General features: G+C 34.5%; 1 protein-coding gene across 26 annotated transcripts in view; it reads left to right on the top strand.

Annotated features, from left to right (window-relative positions):
• The window catches only part of SLC4A7 (solute carrier family 4 member 7), a 111,662-nt gene that overhangs the window by 82,069 nt on the left and 5,711 nt on the right, over nt 1–23,882 (top strand). For 16 of the 26 annotated variants that reach the window (NR_135544.2, NR_135542.2, XM_017007527.3 and 13 more), the window contains 10 exons: nt 1,447–1,552; nt 3,963–4,124; nt 4,519–4,632; nt 7,201–7,362; nt 7,547–7,798; nt 10,508–10,576; nt 12,212–12,385; nt 16,293–16,424; nt 19,066–19,163; nt 22,960–23,067. Coding sequence is in view for 22 of the 26 variants with exons in the window: in XM_017007527.3 (XP_016863016.1) it covers nt 1,447–1,552; nt 3,963–4,124; nt 4,519–4,632; nt 7,201–7,362; nt 7,547–7,798; nt 10,508–10,576; nt 12,212–12,385; nt 16,293–16,424; nt 19,066–19,163; nt 22,960–23,067 (1,377 nt within the window). In the remaining 4 variants the exon portion in view is untranslated. The remainder of the gene's footprint in view (nt 1–1,446; nt 1,553–3,962; nt 4,125–4,518; nt 4,633–7,200; nt 7,363–7,546; nt 7,799–10,507; nt 10,577–12,211; nt 12,386–16,292; nt 16,425–19,065; nt 19,164–22,959; nt 23,068–23,882) is intronic. The other 10 variants (NR_135541.2, NR_135543.2, NM_001321106.2 and 7 more) reach the window with 1 other exon arrangement.

The raw sequence follows: 23,882 nt of genomic DNA, 5'->3' as shown, positions 1-23,882 counted from the left end.
TAAAGTAGGATTTGAAAAGGAATGTGTAGTGGTTACAAAAGTTTGGCAAGTATATTCAATAAGTGTAAAATAGGCTTTTAAAAGTAGACATATTTAAGTAGATGCCTTTATTTGCTGTCTTTAGCAGTCACGCTTGGCGTAAATATGGAACTGCATTTGATTGATTTACAGGGAAAAATATGGTTACCAAAAGACACAAAAGGATACAGTTTTTCTTTTTCTACCCACCTAAGCCCCAGATACATGTACTTCCCTCTTTTGTTCATTCGTTCTTCCCCCGCTGCCTTTCCTTGCACACTCTCAACTTTGACGGACAGAATAAAGAGGGTATGAAAATTCCTGGAAGACATTGACCTATTTGAATATACTAGTGACACTATGATGCCGAATCTGTTATATACTATCTTCATTCCTCTTAGAAGCTTTAATTTAAACACATTTTTTAAATCTTTCTTTCCTTGCCTTTTGCTTCTTTGACCTTTATAAAGCATGACTTTTATAGTTAGTGTCAGCCAGTTAGAGCAGTGTTTCCTTCTGGTTAACTGGGTAATTAACATGTGAATTACATTTATTTGGCCAACATTCTATGAGCGTCTGCAGGCACTGTGTTAGGAGTGTTGCCTAATTTATATTATAAATTTATATTTGTAGTGTTACTTATTCACATCATAGCCCCTTTTGTGTATGAAGAAGCTGATGGCCTTGGAGGTTAAAACTTGGAGGTCAGTCATCTACTAAAAGCGCCTGGATGGACTCCAAAGTCTGTCTTCTTGCCTTTCCTCAAACAGTTCATAACCTAGTTTGGAACATTCATGATTATTACTTTTCATCTTTTAAGTCCGTATTTAAAAGTTTCTTTGCTTACGTGTGTTCTAGCTTTAGGTAGTTGAAATAGTTCTGGATATGAACTGAACTCTGATTTCCTTATGACTCTCCTAGTCCTGTCCTGATGAGAAACTATTTTTTATTTATTTCTTTAAGAATGAGCCTTAAGATCAACAAAGGGTGACTGTGAGTAGGTAGGGCTTGTCAGTTATAAAGAATTAATGGTAGTATAACTTATTGGGAATCTATATGTGCTATGGGGGAGTGGAGGGAGACAGCAGTAACTGCTATGGAGGTTGAGTAGATAAGCTTTAGTGGAGACTAATCTTGCTAAACATGGTGGAATCATCTTAGATTTTTAAGTAAAATAGTGCCCTCACCAAGGACATAACTAGCTTCATTAACTAAACGTTTTGATATTTGTATTGGTTTTATTTTATTTCTATAACCCAAACTTTATTCCATTCTGTTGTTTCTGATGTATTTTCCACTTTCTAGTCTCCATGCTTCTCAATGTGGGAAAAAAAGAAGTTAAAATCTACCACATTGTATAATTGATTTAGTAAAATGTAAGCATGAAATTCAGGATCCTTAAAAATGTATCCTACTCTAATTTCTCAGATGTGTATGTACTGAACCTCCAAACCCCAGCAATGAAACTCTAGCACAATGGAAGAAAGATAATATAACAGCACACAATATTTCCTGGAGAAATCTTACTGTTTCTGTGAGTATATTTTGAAATAAAGGGTTTTGTAATAGATATTGATCTGGTTCTTTTAGCTTTTTCTAATCAGACATCCATTTTCTCTTGATTGATGGATCGGTAGTATGTTTTCAGAATGTAGTGTTATTTTGACCAGATAGCAGTTGCTACTTTTTTATGTATCATGCGCTCGAAAGTGTAGGCTGAAAAGAATGAAACTGGCACGAGAGATAAAGGTGGATTATATTTGACTTCCAAGATATGAACAGTATAAAGATGTGAATATACTTCTGTTTTCTAATTCTACTTAGATTGATACGTTCAAAGGAAGTGTTTACTGGGACTGTGGCTACATATACTGTCCTTTACAATATTTTATATCCACTTGTCCTGCCTTTTTATCTGTTCATCTGCTCCATCGACAGCTAATTTAGATCATGAAGTGCTGTGTTAATGTCCTAATGTCTAAGTTAACCTTGTCTAACTCATCAAGACTAGTCTGGGTCGAACATTAAGGGAAGAGAAAGGAAAAAGAATTAAAAACATGTAATGAACACCTACTGTGTGCTGAATACTATTACAGATGTTTGTGTTCTGTTGGGGGAGTATTGTCCTAATCCTAGAATATTTATTTTTGACATTTCCAAGCCTGGGAGTTAGAAATAAATATGTAAAGTTTGCCAGTAGTTAGAATTAAGACTAAGATCCCTTGAGCTACCGTTGTGCTTTTTATATCATATAAGTAACTGTAGGTCATTCCTTTCTCACTAAAGGTGATAGTTCCTAACTATATAATTTGAAGGATATTATCTGAAATTTTATCCCACTGATAATTTAAGACTGTATTGTCCAATACAGTAGCCATTAGCCACGTGTGTCTATTTAAACTTAAGATTAATTAAAAGTTTAGTTTTTCAGTTAACTAGCCACATTTCAGGTGTTCAGTCAATTCATGTGACTGCTGGCTCCTGTATTTCCATTATTTCTGTGATGGAAATGTTACATTATCTGCATCATCTAATATATCTATTGGGCAGTGCTGATTTAAAGCAGTAAAAATTGCCAAGCATGGTGGTTCACACCATAGCACTCTGGGAGGACAAGGCAGGAGTATTGCTAGAGGCCAGGAGTTAGAGACCAGCCTGGGCAACATAGCAAGGCACCATCTCTACAAAAATTAAAAAATTACCCTGGTATGGTGACTCGCGCCTGTAGCTAACTTACTGGGAGGCTAAGGAGGGAGAATCACTTGAGCCCAGGAGTTGGAGATTACAGTGAGCTGTGATAGCATCACTGCTCACCAGCCTGGGCGACAGAATGAGACCCTGTCTCTAAAAACAAATAAAAGAAAAAACATAGATTCATGCTTTACTATTTTATATTTAAAAAGTCATTTTTGTTAAGGAAGAGGTGTAGTTAATAGAGGTGTTCAAATGAAAGTGATTTGTTACAAATAATTCATTTCATGATGGGTCAGATGTCTTGATATATAGATATAAGTGTTTTCATGTTATCCCAAAGGGCCATGCAGGGTGGGTTTTTTTGTTTTTCTGGTAATGGTATAGCTTTTATTTTCATGATCCATGGAATGGATTAGGTTTACTAATCTCAGCACATGGCATGTGAAAATAATGGAACATTTAACTATTTTTCTTTGGGTACAACTGACTTGTTTTGTTAAAATGAGCTTCATTAGATTATAAGTAAGAAAAAGGAGAACTTTAGTGGCATGTGCTTCTATTAATCTCTGATTGCCTTTCAGTTTTTTTTTTTTTTCCCTAAAGGAAAATGAAGTCAGTAGTTTCTATAATTGCATTTTATTATGCTATATTATTACGTTACTGATTTTATTAATGGAAATATTTTAACGGTCATTTTACTGCTTATGGTCCCTGTGCTTTTAGTCTGAAGGTACTGAATCAAGTCAGAAAAGCTAAAGACAATTTTTATTACTGATTTTAATTTAGGTACTGTAGCCATCTCTTATCCAGCATCATAAAAGAGCATAGTATTAATTTTCTATCTGCTGCTTTTGTTTTAAACCACTTGTTCAGAAACGAAAAGCGGTAAAATTGTGGACAAGCAAGAATGCAGAAGAAACATTTCACAAATAATACTCACTACAAGGCTTTCAGTATAGGGAATATGGAATTGAAAGAAAGGAGTATTTGAAGTGACTTGGCAAAATACTGTATTTTAGTGATTTGAGATGCACGTATTTTTCAAATTATAATATCTTGAACTCAGGATATGTATTACAATTAGTTGTTAGTGTGTTATAGTTGGCTGGACAATGTTTTTTCTTTATAAGGAATACAAAGTAATGGTGCCTCTTACAATCAGTTGCATCTTACGAGTCAATGAAGCTCATAATAATTTATTGAATACGTAAGAATCCCCCATTCTGCTTTTTCTTTCTCCTTTTTTCCAGGAATGTAAAAAACTTCGTGGTGTATTCTTGGGGTCAGCTTGTGGTCATCATGGACCTTATATTCCAGATGTGCTCTTTTGGTGTGTCATCTTGTTTTTCACAACATTTTTTCTGTCTTCATTCCTCAAGCAATTTAAGACCAAGCGTTACTTTCCTACCAAGGTAACTGTGATATAATTTTGGAATTCTGGTAATATTCATATTTTTGGTTTTTATTTCCTTGGTTTATTTCAAAACAGTAATATATTTTTTGAGGTTAATACTCCATGCCAACTGGTTAATAAAGAAATTATTCGTAGTGAAAAATGTATATTACGTGCCTGAGCTCACAGTAGGAAGATGATGGTACCATAAGAGTTGCTAGGTTAGTTGCGAAATGTGTTTCTTATATTTTTGGAAAGAATTAAATATAAATGTGTTTCACTGTTAACATTGTCACTAGTTAAAAGCTCCATTTGTACGTTGTAGTGACAATTTTATCAATAAAAGATGTGAATTATTTAGAAAGAACACATAGTATTTCTGTGTTTATATTAACATAATCCCTTTAACATAGGTGCGATCGACAATCAGTGATTTTGCTGTATTTCTCACAATAGTAATAATGGTTACAATTGACTACCTTGTAGGAGTTCCATCTCCTAAACTTCATGTTCCTGAAAAATTTGAGGTAAGGATTAAAACAAGTGGCTATTTGTTACTTGGGAATACCACACTACTTTAAAGCAAGATACTATTTTCTCAGTAGTTATTGTTTTAAAAGTATGTAGTCTCTTTGAAGGGCTGATGCTTTGAAAGGAAATAATTTATATGTGTTTTTCATATGTATATAAACAATGACAATATGGACAGAAAAGAGACATGTGAACTTAAAAGTATCACCGCTGGTCCATTAGAGAGAGTGAATGAAAATATTTGTGGTAAGATGTAGGGAGCCATTAAAAAAAAAAAAAAGTCTTTGCTCTCCTACCTGGAGTTCTTGCTGTACCTTCCAGGGAGAAGGAAACAGCCTTTATTTTTTTATAAAGAAGTAACCCAGGCCAGGTGCAGTGGCTTGTGCCTGTAATCCCAGCACTTTGGGAGGCCGAGGCAGGTGGATCACTTGAGGTCAGGAGTTCAAGACCAGCCTGGCCAACATGGTGTACTAAAAATACAAAAATTAGCCAGGCGTGGTGGCGGGCGCCTGTAATCCCGCTACTCGGGAGGCTGAGGCAGGAGAATCGCTTGAACCCAGGAGGCGGAGGTTGCAGTGAGCTGCGACCATGCCATTGCACTCCAGACTGGGCAATAAGAGGGGAACTCCATCTCAAAAAAAAAAAGTAACCTAAAATTCAATTTTCTAGGAGTGGCAGAGAGGGTCTAGTTAAATTTCTAGAAGGGTAGTATATCTGACAGTAGTTGGAAAATTCCATGTAACAATTTCCAGTAGCATAAGGAGAAAACGAAGTGTGTTCTATAAGAAAAATGATCTGAGCATCCATTTGAATTTTCTGCTTTCATTAGCAGATTTGAATATATTCATTTTCCTTCTGCTCTGTTTTTGTTTTCTTCCATCCTCCTTTGCTTATGCTAAAAGGAAAGACATTGTGAATAGTGTCACTGGTTATATTTAATTTAACAAGTTATATGACTTCTTTCAGAAGCAGCTGGTTTAAAGGGGATCCGAAATAAGGAATATAATGAAGATCATTTTATTTTATATTATAAAATCTAATTTTATAATATTGCACTGAGACCAAAATGTTATTTTTAAAATCAGTGGTCTTTAAAGTAGGGTACACAGGTGGAAAATGATCTGCCAACAATTTTTAGAAAGTCTTATGTTTTTAATGTAAAAATATGAAAATATTAAACTTTAGGTTTATTTTATGAGAATATATAAATAAATGAAACTATGAATTAATATTGGTTCAAAACGTGATGTAATTTCCTGTAATCCTGGCCTAAGTTCCTTATTCTGATTCTTAAATATGTCCTTGTTATTTATTTACTGATATGGCTTTCAGGTAATAGGCTGATTTCAAGGGGCATAAAATATACTTGAGGAAGCAAATCAAGGAACTCTTAAGAGTAAATGGCATTGTATAAGTAGAATAAAATATTTTTGTTCATACACAACATTGAGTGTGAGGTAGTTTAATATATATTAGTGTGGAAAGATTGAATTACCTGAACTTTGAAAGTATTAAATTTCCCTTTTATATTGACAAATGTTTTCATGAAGAAGAAACAAGCTTAATACCAAGTTGAGGTAATAAAAACATATGTTTAGGTTTCTATATATGCAGTATTCTCCCAAACATACTAAACTCTCTTGATCTTTAAAAAAAAATTGCTATAAAATCTTACATTGTACTGTCAAAATGTATTAGTATCTCATAAAGTGCCAGATTTTTGTTAGTAGTTCCTTTGGAAATACCATGTATTGTGGACCAGTTCTGATTTAGTACTGACCCTGTCAAAATCACTAAGTCTGCAGGACTAGACTAAAGCAGTTTAGTTTAGGAGTTTAGTGGATAGATTGATTTCACCTTATATGAATTATGCAGGAACATGTGGAAATGACATTCCAGTTTGCTTATCAATTTCTACATAACAAACTTTTGAATAACAGCCCTTTATTTGTTTATAATTCTGTGGCAGTTGAGACTAGGCTTAGCTGGTTTGTGGTCTGCTCTGTGGGGTGCAGTCATCAATGGGGGCAATATGCCTTCATTCATATGTCTGAGGCCTCAGCTCAGATGGATGAAACAGCTGGAATAGTTGCCTGGGGAACCGCCCCCGACACCCACTACCATATAGACTATATTGAGGATAGTCTTATCCTCAAGAAAGCTTATCTAGGCTTACTCGACAGCGTAATAATCTCAGGGTTCAAAGCAGGTTAGAGAAGAAGCTGCAAGGTTCTTTAAGGTTAAGACTTAGAAATCACATAGTGTCACTTTGGCCTTATTCTGTGGGTTAAAGTAAGTCACAGGGTCATCCTGGTTTCAGGGGGGAAGGAGGCAGACTCCACCTCTAGGTGGAAAGATTGACTGAGTCAAATGACAGGAGGTATAGTTATAGGGATAGGAAGAATTACTGTGGCCATCTTTGAAAATAATTCACCATGTAGTTCAAGATTTAAGTTATTTCCCATTCGTTGGGTATTTCTTGGAACAGATCAAGTCTATGTTATGGAAATTTAGTGCAATACAGCAAGGAGACTTTTTGAAAATTATATTTAATTTTTTAACAGCCTACTCATCCAGAGAGAGGGTGGATCATAAGCCCACTGGGAGATAATCCTTGGTGGACCTTATTAATAGCTGCTATTCCTGCTTTGCTTTGTACCATTCTCATCTTTATGGATCAACAAATCACAGCTGTAATTATAAACAGAAAGGAACACAAATTGAAGGTAATTTTAGAATTTTGCCTTAAGCATTGTGATTCTTCAAGGGTTTGAGCTGTTTTTGTAATGATTAGAACATTAAAAGATGTAAGATGAAAATTAGCTTCTTCCCTCTTTATAATTCGTGTAGAATTTTAAATTGAGGGAACCATTTAGACTTACAGATATTTATGTTCATTTCACTTTTCAGAAAGGAGCTGGCTATCACCTTGATTTGCTCATGGTTGGCGTTATGTTGGGAGTTTGCTCTGTCATGGGACTTCCATGGTTTGTGGCTGCAACAGTGTTGTCAATAAGTCATGTCAACAGCTTAAAAGTTGAATCTGAATGTTCTGCTCCAGGGGAACAACCCAAGTTTTTGGGAATTCGTGAACAGCGGGTTACAGGGCTAATGATTTTTATTCTAATGGGCCTCTCTGTGTTCATGACTTCAGTCCTAAAGGTAAAATTTCTTTATTGCCGTGTTTTACAATCTTATTATAACATTTATACTTAGTTATGTGAACATGAAACATTAAAATATACTTAAAATACCTAAAATTAGGTTTGTTTTCCACAGTTTACTTGGGAAATAATTTCATTAGGTTTTTAGTATAGCAAGCATTTCAGTGGTAAGCTGTATATATTTTTAAAATAATGTATACCAGGTGTAGTGGCTTACGCCTGTAATCCCAGCAATTTGGGAGGCCAAGGAAGGAGGATTGCTTGAGGCCAGGTGTTCAAGACCAGCCTGGGCAACATAATGAGACCCTGTCTCTATAAAAATAAAAATAATTAGCCAGGTATGGTGGCATGCTCCCGTGGTGCCAGCTGCTCAGGAGGCTGAGGTGGGAGGATCGCTTGAACCTGGGAGGTCAAGGCTGCAGTGAGCCGTGATTGGGCCACTGCACTCCAACCTGGGTGACAAAGTGAGATCCTGTCTCAAAAAACAAAAAAAATTATAATATGGCAAATATATGTATAAAACGCTCATAAATAAAAGTATTTGTGGGGGAGGGGAAATGACCTCAGTAATTTTTAAGAGTATAAAGGAGTCTTGAGACCACAGAGTTTGAGAGCTGCTGACCTAAAGTTGTGTCTTTCACCTATGACTCCATCCTCATTCTGTCTTCCATCACATCCCTCTTGTTGGCTTTTATTTTTAATTTTTTTATTATTGTAAAAGTCGTTATTAACATTTACATTTTGTGCTATGATGATAATTAAGGCTTCCTTGCATCTCCTGTAAGTTAGATTATAGAAATTTAAACCCTCTGGGAACACATAAATGATATTACGATGGTATTTGCTGGGGACTAAGCAGTGTGATTGTGAGGACTAAGCAGTGTGAGTTGCCTGCAGGGAGGCAGAAATATACTCTATTTTACTCCAGCCCAAGCCTGAAGACCAAATAAGTCTTTCTAATATCTGCTACCTTCCCTTACTGTAAAAAAATTGTATATGCAGGTTCCCCTTTTTCTTGTATTCATTTTTTGTATTGATAAATTCTTTTTACACATGGTACCATTAGCGGTGAACTTATTGAGAGTTCTTGCATATTTCAAAATGTCTCTATTTACCTCAACATTTGATCCATAGTTAGATATTCAAAATAGTTTTCTTTTGGATCTTAAAGTCATTGTTTTCTGGAGACCAATTTTCTAATGAGAAATCTGAAATCTATTTGGTTTTTGTACTTTTATGGAGACCTTTTCCCTCTTTAAGATAAACCAAAAAAATTTTTTTTAACTTTTGTTTTTGTGAAAACTCATTCAGATACTTAGGGAGGCAGTTAGGGGCTTTTCATTTACCCTGCTTAGTCTCTGTTGGTTTTCTCGAGAAACCTGTGCCTTCTGCTGTGAGAATTTTCTTCCCCTGTTTACTTCCCTTTTCGTCTATTGTCTCTGTTACAAATTTCTTCAACTCCAGCTAAACAGATCTCAGACCTTTTGGATTTGTTCTAATATTCTTATCCCTCCTCCCCCTTGCTATTAAAGAAAATTTTCTCCTTTTTTCATATCATTATATTGGTCTTCAGTCTTATGAAAATTATTACTACAAAATTTTAGTTATTTTGATATTTATAGATTTAATTTTCATGAGCTTTTCCCATTCTTATTTCTTTTTCCTAGCATTTTTTTTTCTTTTTTCTTTTGAGACAGAGTCTCACTCCATCACCCAGGCTGGAGTGCAGTGACATGATCTTGGCTCACTGCAACCTCTGCCTCCTGGGTTCAAATGATTCTTGGCCTCAGCCTCCCGAGTAGCTGGGACTACAGGCACGTGCCACCATGCCCAGCTAATTTTTGTGTTTTTGGTAGAGATGATGGTTTCGCTATGTTAGCCAGGTTGGTCTCGAACTTATGGCCGCAAGTGATCTGCCCGCCTCAGCCTCCCGAAATGCTGAGATTACAGGCATTGCTTAGATTTTTTAAAATACGTCTGCTTCGTAAACTGTTTTCTTTTTTTCCAGTGTCCTTAGAAAGACACGCTAGGTTGTTTAGAAGAGATGTAGTAGATGTGGTTTTCCTCTGTAGTTTTTTAATTTGTTGTTCCTTATAGTACACTTCTCCCTTAGGTCAGAGTGCTTTTTGTGGTTTTGAGTAAATGGATGGGCTCTGTTAATAGCCAGACTTTCTTGCAGGATGAATAGGTGTGAACTGTGTAGACAGTTTGGGATCATCATAACTGCCAAAGTAGTAAGGATTTTATTTTGGAGGTGGATTTTACTTACTATATTCAGTAAAGGCTACTGCTTAATATTCAGTGCAGCAGGTAGTGATAGCAATGACAATGGTTGTCACTTTTTGTGTGCTTAATATGTATCAGAGCTTTTCTGAGTGTTTTATGTATTTGAAGTCATTGAATCTTTACAGCAATCTGATATAGAAACTGAGGTACAGAAAGTTAAGTTTGACTTAAAACTAAGTCTGACTGCAGTACTCCTGATCTTAAGTGAACATACTCCCTTTTTAGGAAGCAGCATGTAGAAGATGAGTCATTTTTCAAGCAGGTTATTGTATATTAGCAATTTTCTTATGTGTGGAAATGTTAGGTCGGTCTAATCCTCATGATTGAAAAATCTTTTAATTCTAGCCCTATAATTACTCACTGATTATGTTTTTGTTTACTTACTACTCATGAGTTCTAATTGTGTTCATTTTATTTACAGTTTATTCCAATGCCTGTTCTGTATGGTGTTTTCCTTTATATGGGAGTTTCCTCATTAAAAGGAATCCAGGCAAGTTTTAAGTATTTAATGATTTTCTATAGAAACTTGATAATTTTAAGTATGCAAAGATTGTTTTAATGATGGTAGTGATTTATTCTCAACTCTGACATTTTGAGGGGAGGTTAGTTTTCTAACTGATGACTTCAGACATTTGCCAAGTGATTGTTTGCTTACTGTACATTTTTTCCTCCAGAGAGTGAGATCATGAGCTGACATGGTCCTTACCTGTTTTTAATTGAAGCCAATGAAAAGCCCTATAACTCAATAAAGACTAGAATAGTGAGAGGGAGGATCAAAAGGATTGTATTGAAAAAAAGTTTTGGTACTTAAAAAGGTAGATATTAGTTTCCTATAAAAATAGCAAGACCCGCCATTTGTGTAACACAATACAGCTTATGAAGCCTAGCATATACATCATTTTGTGATCCTCAAAACATTAACCAGTTGGGAGAGAGGAAAGGAAGAAATCCTAATATAAATCAGGAAACAGAAATAGAAGGACTTATTGAAGATTATTAGCTAAGCCAGTGGTTTCATTATTTTGTTTTGTTTTAATAGTTACTGGGAAACAACCTAATAAAACTTCTTAAGATTTGTACTAATATAATTTTAGTATAAAACATTTAGGCTGGCTATCATTACTCATGTCTGTTATCCCAACACTCTGAAAGCCTGAGGCAGGAGTATCACCTGAGGCCAGGAGTTTGAGACCAGCCTGGACAACACAGTGAGATCCTGCCTCTACAAAACCTTTAAAAATTAGCCGGCTGTGGTGTGTGTACTTGTAGTGCTGGCTACTCAGGAGGCTGAGGTAGACGGATTGCTTGGGCCCAGGAGTTTGAGGCTGCTGTGAGCTGTAGTCATGCCACTGCATTCCAGCCTGGGTGACAGAGTGAGACCCTGTCTCAAAAAACAAACAAACAAACACACACAAAAAAAACGATCATAAAGCACAGTTAGCGCTACATGACCACCTCTTCTCATGAAAAGGATGTTGTCTAAAGTTTCCAACTCATAGGCTAGTGGCAGGAAAACATCTTTATTTTTTCAACACCATCCAGGACCTACTCTTCACTGGTCAAGAAATTATTTCCTTATCTCACCTGATTTTTAAGAGTTTTGTGAGATGATTAGGGCTGATCTTATTCACAGTGTGTTAATGAGGAAATTAAAGCTCAAAAAGATGAAGGCATTTGCTCAGTTTTATTTTCAATTAGTGAAGAATTGTAATTGTTATCTCAAGTTATTTTCTGGTTAAATTTGTGAAGAACCTTAGAAGTCACTCAGACTATTCTTTTGTCATGAACATTACAAAACAAAGAGATAAATGACTTGTGCATTCAATTATAGCAGATAAGTTTATCTAGATATTTTAATCCTCTGAATTAAACATTTTGGCTTGAGTTTTCTGATTAAATAAATTACAGCAGTGCAAGTGGTTGCTTGGTTCCCACCTGCCACCCTCCCCCACCCGACCCCACTTTGGATCCAGAGAATGCTTGCTGTAACATTCTCCTGTACTATCAGAAAATGTCAAGGAAGTTACAATTTAATACACAAAATCCTAAAGTTGAGTATAGATTCTTCTCCTAAATAGCAGAAATATTTTATTGAAAACTTCTTTGTTTTTTATTCTATATGTAGTTATTTGACCGTATAAAATTATTTGGAATGCCTGCTAAGCATCAGCCTGATTTGATATACCTCCGTTATGTGCCGCTCTGGAAGGTCCATATTTTCACAGTCATTCAGCTTACTTGTTTGGTCCTTTTATGGGTGATAAAAGTTTCAGCTGCTGCAGTGGTTTTTCCCATGATGGTAAGATTTCTTCAGACTTATTTTGTCACTAATTAATAATATGTTTACAGTAATTTTTTATTAATATTTATAATTGATTTTGAGAAAAAGAATAATGCGTTTTAAGTACCTTAGGTGTTTGAAAATGTGAATTAGCTGTTACTAGATACAAAGCAGTTGTTTCCCAGCTTCAATTTTATTACTTTGTAAATTTTTGTTTGTTTTGCTTTTTAGTCCTTAGGCTATAGGACTTGGTTTTGTATTTTTAAATAACTTCAGAATTCAGGACGTTCATGGAACAAATACATTTTCAAATGTAAAAGCAAAGGAACCAAAACAACATGGTTCATTATTAAAATACTTTGATATATCTTTTTCAGAAATTGACAGATGTGGAAGTTAAAAAGTAATGAAGGCTACCGATGACTTTAATAAGACAATATAATTCATTAAATTATCACAGAATATTGCATTTTACAAATAGAGAATGTACATTCTTCTGTAAATGCTATGTAAAAATTGGTTTTGTACATGGCCACAGAGAAAACCTTACAGAATTTAAAAAGCTATAAAAATTACTCAAGTAGTATTTTCTAAAAACAGTTAAATTAGAAATAAATAATGGAAAGCCACTAAAATAATCTTAAATATTTGGAAATTAAACACTGTTCTAAATAATTTCTGAATAGAAAACAGTTAAAAAACCATCTAGAGGTATTGAAAGAGAGAAAATTATAACAATGTCTGTCTAAAACTTTGAGCACAACTAAAGTTACACTGAGAGGAAGGTGTATGCACTTCATTGCCTTTATTATTCAAGAAGACTTCAATGCAACTAAGTTGTTTTTTTTAAAAAAATCAATAATGGATAAACCACTCCCAAGCACATGTAAAGAAGAAAATGAGAGAATGGATATACAAGATTAAGGAGGAGAAAAGAGCGATAACCAGAGATATGGAGATGATTCAAGGGACTTGATGAAAATAACACTTGCATGAATATCAATAAATTTGAATATCTAGAGCAGAGGTCAATAAACTTTTTCTGTAAAGGGCCAGATAGTAAACATTTTAGGCTTTATAGGTCACGAGAGTATTATGTGGGTACTTATGTAATCTTATTGATGAAATTTAAAAAATAATTTTAAAAATATAGGACTATTAGAAGAATGGAATTATTTTTTATTTGACATTATTTTACTTAATTGGGATTCATGGTTATTGTTTTCTACCATCAAATTAATTCCAAATGTTTATCTGTAAAAAAACATTCTTAGGTTATAGGCTATACAAAAATAGATGGTGGATGAAATTTAACTCAGGTGCTATGGTTTGCTGACCTCTGACCTGGAACAAATGGATTATTTTCATACTATATCTAAATTTCCAAAATTGACACTGGAAGTATAAAATTTGTGTATAGCCCAGTTGCATAGAAGAAACTGGAAAAGTGGTTAAAGACCTGTCCTTAAAGTATCAGGGTCAGATTGGTTAAAAGCTTAATTTTAAAGAACAGATAATTACAGTACCCTCTTGAATTATTCTAGACCAAAGGAAAAGATGGAAACCTATGCAATTTTTCTCAAAAAACACTGACAAGTTATTAATACCCAAGGCTAATTAAGTTGCACAAAAGATTTATGCTGCCTTCTTACTAATATAAATGCAGAAACCTTAAACTAAAATATTAGCAAGTAAACAAATTTAGCAGAATTTCCAAGAGTAATATATCTTAAGTAGATAGACAATGATACTTTGGCTTCAAAGCAATTATTAACATATTTGTTGAAAATGTCATTGTATACCTATTAACCCAAGTGATTTTAGTTAAAAACAAAAAAGACTGAGCCCTTAATAGAATTAATAAGAATTGTGTTAGGGTGGCTGGATGTTAGAAAACTTGATGAATTAGTAGGCAGTCTCTCTCAATGATCAAAAACCATAAAGTACTTAAGAATAAATTTTAAAAGAAAGACCCCTTTAAAGAAAAAGGCTTTATAATAGCATTTGTATTAGCTTCCAAGGGCTGCTGTAACAAAGTACCACAAACCAGAGGCAGTATGTGGGGGTGGGCAGTGACATGCTCTTTCTGAAGCCTCCAGCGGGGAATCCTGCCTTGTCTCTTCCTCTCTTCTGGAGGTTTGCTGGCTGTCTTTGGCATTCCTTTGGCTTGCAGCTGGGTAACTGAAGTTGGAGCCTTTGTTGTCACATGGTGTTCTTCAACAGCTTATTTCCAAATAAGTTCATATTCTGAGGTACTGGAGGTTAGGACTTAACTGTCTTTAATGGGGAACAAAATTCAATCAATAACAGTATTAAGGGACAGCAAATAAGACCTGAACAAATACTGTGTTCTTTGTTTTAAAGATTTCATATTATAAAACTTGCAGTTTTCTGAAAAATCGCATTTAAATGTAATATAGTGCCAAGTACAGATTCTACTGGAGTTTTATCTGAATGTATGTGTTGGGGTGGGGGGTGGTGTCATTGTGAACTGGATAAATAATTTGGAACTGGATAAATAAAAAATAAATGCCTGACTCAAAAACATGGATGGTAGAAATGTTCTGTATCTTGTCTGGGTGTGCATTATATGAGTAGTATATACATTTGTCAAAAGTATCAAACTGTACACATGCTATTTTTCAATTTTTCTGTATGTAAATTACATATTCATTAGAAAGAAAGACATAACTACTAGAGAATAACAAGATAATGATAATTATAACTAAGAAGGATTCCTGGCTAGGATTGAGCATAGAGGGCTTTGCTTTGCCATCTACTTCACTGTTCGTGTGCTGATACTGTACTGTTTTAATAACCAAATATTTAAAAATTGCTGACAAGTCAGTGTAGCCACCATAATATAGAATTGGCATATGAATAGACAAATCAGAAAAATAGACAAATGGGTCCAGAAATGTATCTGAATACATTGGAATTTTATCACTTGAATACCATAAGCAGGTTATTTCATTAAAGGTAGTATTTCTTTTGTATGGGAGAATTTAGTATTGGACGATTTAAATGTATACTGGAAGCTAAGTAATGTTGTACTCCTTATCTGAGACCATGTTCAGAAATCAAAATTGAATTCAGTATTTAAATGGTAAAATAAATTGTAGTGGAAAATGTAAAAGAGTATTGTATAATCCATTGATTGGGACTAACTTTTCAAAGAAGATAGGAAAACCCAAGTGTAAAAGGAAGATATGCTATATTTGACGTGATAATTAAATGTTTCTTATATGTTCAAAAAGTATAAAAAACAGTTAAATCAGACTGTGAACTGGGAGAAAATATTTGTAACATGTAAGGCAGATAAAAAATTTCTATTCAAACTACACAGAACTCATAAATGCATAAACAAAAGTCATAAAAACCAACAGTCCAAGTTTAGGAAATAGCAGGTACAGAAGTGGAAATCTTATTGGCCAGTCAGCATTCAAAAACATGCTCATCTTCAGCAGCAGTTAAAGCAAATTAAAGTATTAGTTCATTTCTCCCATATGATTGAAAAGTTAAAACCTAATGTTGGGAATAGGTACTCTAATGTATTGCTGAAGAGATTTTTAAAAATTATATATACTTACATAATATGTAATGTCTTAAAAATTAATTGTTTTTTGCTTTGATATTCAGTGTTTAACCTGCTTCATAATTTTATGCGTAGTGCAAGGGATTTATTCAGGAGAAGGTTAAGAATGCCATTTCCTTTTTTCCTCTCTTTATAGTTTTTTTTTTTTTTTTAGCACAAAGTAAAAAAAGATAAATAATTGACTCAATTCCTTTGAAACAAAATGATGTGTGAATAATTTTTAAACTATATGAAGCATTTTTTATAAGATTTAATAAATATGCTTTTCCTCTTTAAGTGATACAGTTTGTATTATGTGTTACTTAATATTTCCTTCCCCACTTTTTAAAGGTTCTTGCATTAGTGTTTGTGCGCAAACTCATGGACCTGTGTTTCACGAAGAGAGAACTTAGTTGGCTTGATGATCTTATGCCAGAAAGTAAGAAAAAGAAAGAAGATGACAAAAAGAAAAAAGAGAAAGAGGTAAAAAGATAACAATTTTAAACTTACACCACTTCCTTATTTAATATTTTGCACCATATTGCAGGCACCATTATAATCACTTTACATGAATCAGTTCCTTTCATCCTTCTAAGAACTTTATAAAAGTGTAGTAGGTACTGCTGTTATCTCCATTTTATAAATGAGGAAGCAGGCAGAGAGTGGTTAGGTAACTGTTCCAAATGTAGTCTCTTCACCATTTCACTGTGTTGTACCTCCATAGCTCTGACACAGTAATACTTTTCAAAAATTACATATCATGTGCTTACTAAATCAGCAATTAGAAGAATTAGAGTTTTAGCAATATTAAAATATAGGTAACACAAAATAGTTATACCTCAGAGTATATTATCTGAGAAAACTTTAAATACATTTAACATAAATTTTAGCATATATTTAATTTTAATAGCGTTTTAATAATTGGCATACATAATGACAAAAAGGATTTTTAAGTAATTATCTTTTTTAAAAAGTATAATAAAGTTTTAGTCTTTATATGCACTTACTGTGTACCACCATTAGTTGATTTGTATGCTGAGATTTAAGCATAAATAACTTTATTCTGAATTGGAATTTGATTTTTAATAACCAACTCGATAGTATCGGTTAATAAGAAGGAAAAGTAGAGACTTGAGTATATAGCATTGATGGTTTTGTTGATTGTAGTTCCTTGCTCCATTTTCCCATTCAGAGTATTGTTTGAAAATCAAAGATAAGAAAGACACATATTTTTAAATGTATGGTCCTGTTTAAATAGAGATTAAAATTTTATTGATTTTATGTTTATTTTTCAACAAAAATTAAAATTCTTTAACTAGATACTAATTAGAATATTAATTTGAATTAAGACACCAGATTTTTAAAATTAAGATTTTGGTTTTCTTCAGAGTTATATATGTAAATACGTATGAGGGTTTTTTGTTTTTTTCTTCTGAGATGGAGTCTTGCTCTGTGGCCCAGGCTGGAGTGCAGTGGCATGATCTCGGCTCACTGCAACCACCTCAACCTCCCGGGTCCAAGCTAGCTGGGATTACAGGCACCCGCCACCAAACTGGGCTTATTTTTGTACTTTTAGTAGAGACAGGGTTCCACCATGTTGGCCAGGCTGGTCTTCAACTCCTGACCTCTGGTGATCTGCCTGCCTTGGTCCCCCACAGTGCTGGGATTATAGACGTGAGCCACTGTGCCTGGCCTGTATGAGTTTTTCATGATTTTTTCAAATAGAATATAATTTACCTATAAAATATATGGGCCAAATTGCCTGTTTGTTACTTTCTGTATTAATTAGAATGAGGTTCGTCATATATAACAAAAAACAAAAGTAAAAGTGGCCTTTAAACACAAGGTTATTCTTGTGTTTCAAGTAAAAGAATTCTTGAAAGCAAGTGATGCAGTGTTAAGCCCCACAAAGTTATCAGGGGCTCCTTGTTACTTTTCTCCTGACCTCAGCATATGGTTGCCATCCTCATCTTCACTTCATGAATCAAAATGGCTGTCAGACTCCAGCTGTCATGTTAGCATTAGAGACAGCAGGAAAAAGGAAGGGATAGAAGGCAAAATAGCTTCACCATATTGTCAAGTTTAAGGAGTCTTTCCAGAATGTCATCCAGTAAGTTCTACTTGCACCTCATGATCCTACTGAGTTTGTAAGGAATGCTGGGAGATTCAGTTTAGGGGTTTTTGTTTTTGTTTTTGTTTGTTTGTTTTTAGGATCTAGGCAAATTGACACCTCAAAATAGTCAAATTTCTATTAATAAGGAAAAGAAATATGAATGTTCTCTCAGTGTCTCCTCTACTGTCCTATCGATCACCGCCATTATTAACATCATAATTTTCTTCCGTGTCCACTGTCCAAGTTGGTCTCAACCTGAGCTTGAGCCTTAATCTTAACCAGCCTGAGTGGTCTGCTTTGCTGGGTTCTATAAACATTTGCTAAATGATCTAAGATAGTACTTTCATTGATGTACTTTTAAAAAGAGTATAGGAAGTACCATGATGGTTATTAGTAATTATCACTGGGGTGGGCTGGAGGGAATTAAACAACTCTCAGTTGTTAGTCTGAGAGTATTTGAGACATTGCCGAGAGTATTTCAATTTCTGAGATATTTTTGATTGTTATAACTGGAGGGGCTGCTACTGGCATCTGATAGGTAGAATTCTGAGGTGCTGTGAAATACTCTATATACACAGGACTTCTACTACAAAAGATAAATATTATACCCTAAATGTCAGTATTGCTGGGGTTGAGAAACCCTGCCTTATCCAAATGACATTCTGCCCATATTGTATTGTGATAAGGTTTCACAGAATGTTATCTCTCATTATAAACCTACATAATAATTGATAATCACATTTATGTAGTTAAATTGTAGTTAAATCTTAAATAGTATAAGTGACAGTGATTTACATAAAGAAATGAAAGTTAAATTAGTCATGTTTTACAAGTGGTTGTTTTTATTTTATGTTACAAGTATGTGTTCATGATTATAAAATTTTTCAGTAATGGCAGTTATATTTAAATAATGTCAGTTTGGGTTTCTAAGTCTGTAAAATGTTATAAATTAGTCAATTCTCTTGGAAAATATTCTGGGAAAAGTAACCTCTTCACACATGTGTTATAAAGGAAGCTGAACGGATGCTTCAAGATGATGATGATACTGTGCACCTTCCATTTGAAGGGGGAAGTCTCTTGCAAATTCCAGTCAAGGCCCTAAAATATAGGTGAGATATGACTTTATGCTCTAAAACTTTTATATGCATGTCAAATGTATTAATAAGTCATATAATGCTTCTTTAAAGTGATGATTTCTATTTTATAAAAGATGATACAATCTGCATATGGTGTATCAACTAAAGGAGGGCTTCACACAATTTGAAAAGGAAGTCCCTTGCTCCTTTCCCACCCAAGCTGGACTTGGACTAACCCAAGCTGGACTTAAACTAACTTCCATGCCAAGCCAATAAAATTTGCTTGTCTTCTATCACTCCATCTATCTTAGTGAAGTTTAAAATCAGTACATGAGTCTGAGAATATTTCCATTTTCCCAGTAGTGTGGCTTTTTCCTTTGTGCCCTTCATTAGGGCTGGGGTCGGTGGGTGCTGGAAAATAAACGTTTTCAGTAATCTTTGTCAGTGTCCATTCAAATACCAGTAATTCATTTTCTGATAGCCTTCCAATATGTAACTATGTTTAGAGGCCCTAGAAGTCTCTTAGTTTTCAAAGATGTGATTTGATTATTGGCGGTGAGGGTTCATATGATGCAAGAATTAATATTTTATGTATAATTCATTATTCGTGATTTTGATGATTTATATTTAAATTTAAGAACTAAAGATATAGAGGTTGGGAAATGCAGACTTTTGTAGTTTTAAAAGATTAACCTATATTTGTGTACACACCTGATTTCTATTTCTACACATCTATTCCATTTCTGATTAGCTAGAGAAATCAGTCTTAGAGGCCTGGTGTGGTGGCTCACACCTGTAATCCCAGCACTTTGGGAGGCTGAGGCAGGTGGATCACCTGAGGTCAGGAGTTCACGACCAGCCTGGCCAACATGGGGAAACCTGTCTCTACTAAAAATACAAAAATTAGCTGGGTGTGGTGGTGCCTGTAATCCCAGCTACTCAGGACAGTGAGGCAGGACAGTTGGTTGAACCCAGGAGGCAGAGATTGCAGTGAGCCAAGATCATACCAGTGCACTCCAGCCTAGGCAACAGAGCAAGACTCAGTCTCAAAAATAATGATAATAATAACAACTTACATTTGTGTACACACCTGATTTGTATTTTTTTTCTTTTTTTTTGAGATGAAGTCTCATTCTTGTTCCCCAGGCTGGAGTGGAATGGTGTGATCTCGGCTTACTGCAACTTCCACCTCCTGGGTTCTCCCGAGTAGTTGGGATTACAGGCGCCTGCCACCACGCCCAGCTACTTTCTGTACTTTCAGTAGAGATGGGGTTTCACCATGTTGGCCACAATGGTCATCTCAAACTCCTGCCCTCAGGTGATCCGCCTGCCTTGGCCTCCCAAAGTGCTGGGATTACAGGCATGAGCCACTGTGCCTGGCCCTCCTATTTCTACACATCTATTCCATTTCTGATTAGTTAGCGAAATCAGTCTTAGAAAATATACAGGTTTCTTTCCTGACCAGTTGATAGAAAATGTTTTATTGGTATTTAGTTAACTTCCATTTCTTTCTCTTTTTTTTTAGCTATTTATAGCTTTTACAGGAGTAACATTTGACTTGTACATGTTGATTAGTTGTGATGAATGAATTCAACTAATTTTGCTCTATACGTTTTGCTATTAATTTTCACTATTGGTATTATTCTGTATTAATGTTTCCCTCAAATTTTTATATACTTTAAATGCCAAGCATAGAGGCATTTAATATGGATATTTAATATATCCAGCCACAGCGATCTGCTTTGCTGGGTTCTAGAAATACTTGTTAAAAGATTTAATATATTAGCTTCATTGATGTACTTCTAAAAAGAGTATAGGAACTACCATGATGGTTGTTAGTAATTATCACCAATTTGCCGAGAGTATTTGTGCTTAATTTTTATATCCTGCTTTATCACTTTTTCAGTGTAATTATATATGGACCTTGACAAATTTAAGTGGAGTCTATAGTCTGATAAAGAAAAAGATGGATATCTGTAGTTTTCCTTTTGTCTTTTAAGTGGTGTCATAAGCCATGATTAATGTGGCTGTGTTTAAAGTTTTTTCCATCAGGAATGCCAGGAAATGGCTAATGTGCTTATTTGCCAGAATTTTATATCTTAAATAGCTTTGGATTATTTGTGTGGAAGATCAAGTGAGATAGTATATGAAAGTATTTGGAAACTGTAAAGCCCTTATAAAAGATGAAAATAATTTATGTAATGCAGGCAAATTTTTTCCTATCTAATTTCATTTTGAGGGAAAAAAATATATACCTTCTTCATAGTGGAGGATATTTAGAAGCTAGAAGGTTTATCAGGAATTCCTTTCTTCACTTATTTGAAGTTGGCAACCAAGTGAATAAATGTTTACTCGGGGTAGGCAAAGTTTCAAGTTGGATGGCTATGCCATTATAAACTTGGGTATTCAGATTTTGTGTACTTTTAAAAATCTGACCTGGTGAAGGTAAAGAAGCCATTCATAGAGACTTTTCAGTGACCTCCTCACGCTTCTCTTCAATCTTAAATTTGTAAACAACATTCTGATTTTAAGTATGAACAGAGCACTTTCTAAATGACTGCTGTTTAGTCATTTGTAAACTAGTTGCCATCACACTGTTAATTTAACATTACCTAATTTGACATTTGTATTTGTATCTTGTTTGTCTGAATGTATTTTTTTAATCCAAGAAAAAGGACTTGCAAATGTATTTGTATTAACTTTATGATACTTTCCTATTACTTATGATGGACAATCTTGAGCCCCAAATTAATTATTTATGGATATTATTGGATTTGAGGTCTTGAAGTAATTTTCATAGAAATATAGAAACAGAAACATTTTTCTCTTATTGTAATAAATGGATAGTACTCTTTTTTTTTTTTTTTTTTTAAATTCTGGAGATGGAGTCTTGCTCTGTCGCCTAGGCTGGAGTGCAGTGGTGCAATCTCGACTCACTACAACCTCTGCCCCCCGGGTTCAAGAGATTCTCCTGCCTCAGCCTCCCAAGTAGCTGGGATTACAGCCGAGTGCCACCGTACCCGGCTAATTTTTATATTTTTAGCAAAGACGGGGTTTCACTAGGTTGGCCAGGCTGGTCTCGAACTCCTGACCTCGTGATCCGCCCGCCTTGGCCTCCCAAAGTGCTGGGATTATAGGCGTGAGCCACCATGCCCGGCCTACTCTGTTCTTTTAATTTTGATAAACTTGATAAAATACCACCTTTATCACACTAAATATGTGAATAACAGGTAAAAGTGGTACTCATGAGGCTATTTTGTGTTAGCTGTTGAAATATTTTCAGAGCTTTGTTTTCAATTTCAGAGTGTTATCTTTCCAAGCATTCTTTATAATGATTTGTAAAAGCTATGAAAAATAAGATTTTAAAAATCATAATCTTAAGTTTTCCTTACATACTTTGAGTATTTATTTGATAAGATTAAATGTGTGCCAATTATAACCGTTTTCTAGTCGACTTGAGATTGTATTTTTTTTTGTATGTATAAGCACATTAACATAGTCGTATGTTATTTCAGTAACATATTTTCAGCCAAGGTGATCAGAGGGCATCATTGCTAGAGTGCTGCCGAAGTACTACTGAAACCCCAAATTGGATTCTGAAGCAAAGTTCCATAAATAAATCTTGCTAACTTACTTAATCTTAATCTTACTCCTAGTTTCGATTAGAAAGAAAGACGTAATTCTTCATAAGGACTTTGTAACAGAATTCAAATTCTGATATCTGGCAAAGGTTTTCTCAATTTAGTTGATGAAAGCAGATAATAAGAATGACAATATTAATGCTTTTGCAAGTACTGAATACTAACCAAAAAGTGTATTTGTTCTTCAGTGTTGATCCCTCAATTGTTAACATATCAGATGAAATGGCCAAAACTGCACAGTGGAAGGCACTTTCCATGAATACTGAGAATGCCAAAGTAACCAGATCTAACATGAGGTAGTTATAACTATTTGTGTGTTTTCTAACTGTAGCCAATTTTCATTTACTTATGATAGCTTCATTCCTTTCTTTCTTTCATCCATCATTTTAATGTATACTTGGAATAAGGTATAAATAATAATTATGTTTTTGTCTTTTAATTTACAGTTACCTATTTTAAAAAATAATTTGAGTCAGTCATGGTGGCTCACACCTGTAATCCCAGCACTTTGGGAGGCTGAAGCGGGCAGATCATCTGAGGTCAGGATCATCTGAGGTCACTTGCAGTGAGCCCAGATCATGCCATTGCACTCCAGCCTGGGGGACAAGAGTGAAACTCTGTCTCAAAAAATAGTAATAATAATCTGAGCTATTTTATCATAAAAGTAAATTTCATATAGCAGTATGGAATAAACATAAAAAAGATCAGAAACCATATAAAGATTAGATAACTATTAGGGATTAAATACTGTAATTGAATACTATTTCAATCATGCTCTGTGATGGTCTAAGAAAAGAGAAAAACACAAGTTGTTTCCCTTCTTGTGTTTTGGTTTAGTATGCCATTTGTTCAGGTGAGGTAAACATTTTGCTTGGAGATATTTGGAAGAAATCAAATCCATTGACATAAAGACCATTCAGTTTTACAGTGGACCATGTATTGAAAGTATTTTGTAACCTCTTTCTTACATTTCTTGTTATGTAACCTTTTTTCTTTCTTTTGTTCTCACTTCAAGAACTAAGCCCTCAGGGATTCTGTTTGGTAATCATTAGTACTTTAATCCCTTAAGCCTCTGGAGAAATGAATTACTGTCTTCTAGGGTGCTCAGTCA

Source organism: Homo sapiens, chromosome 3, assembly GCF_000001405.40.
Source record: "Homo sapiens chromosome 3, GRCh38.p14 Primary Assembly".
Taxonomy (NCBI): Eukaryota; Metazoa; Chordata; class Mammalia; order Primates; family Hominidae; genus Homo; species Homo sapiens.
The sequence above is the reverse complement of the archived record's forward strand: the minus strand, read 5'-3'. Positions and strand labels throughout refer to the sequence as shown.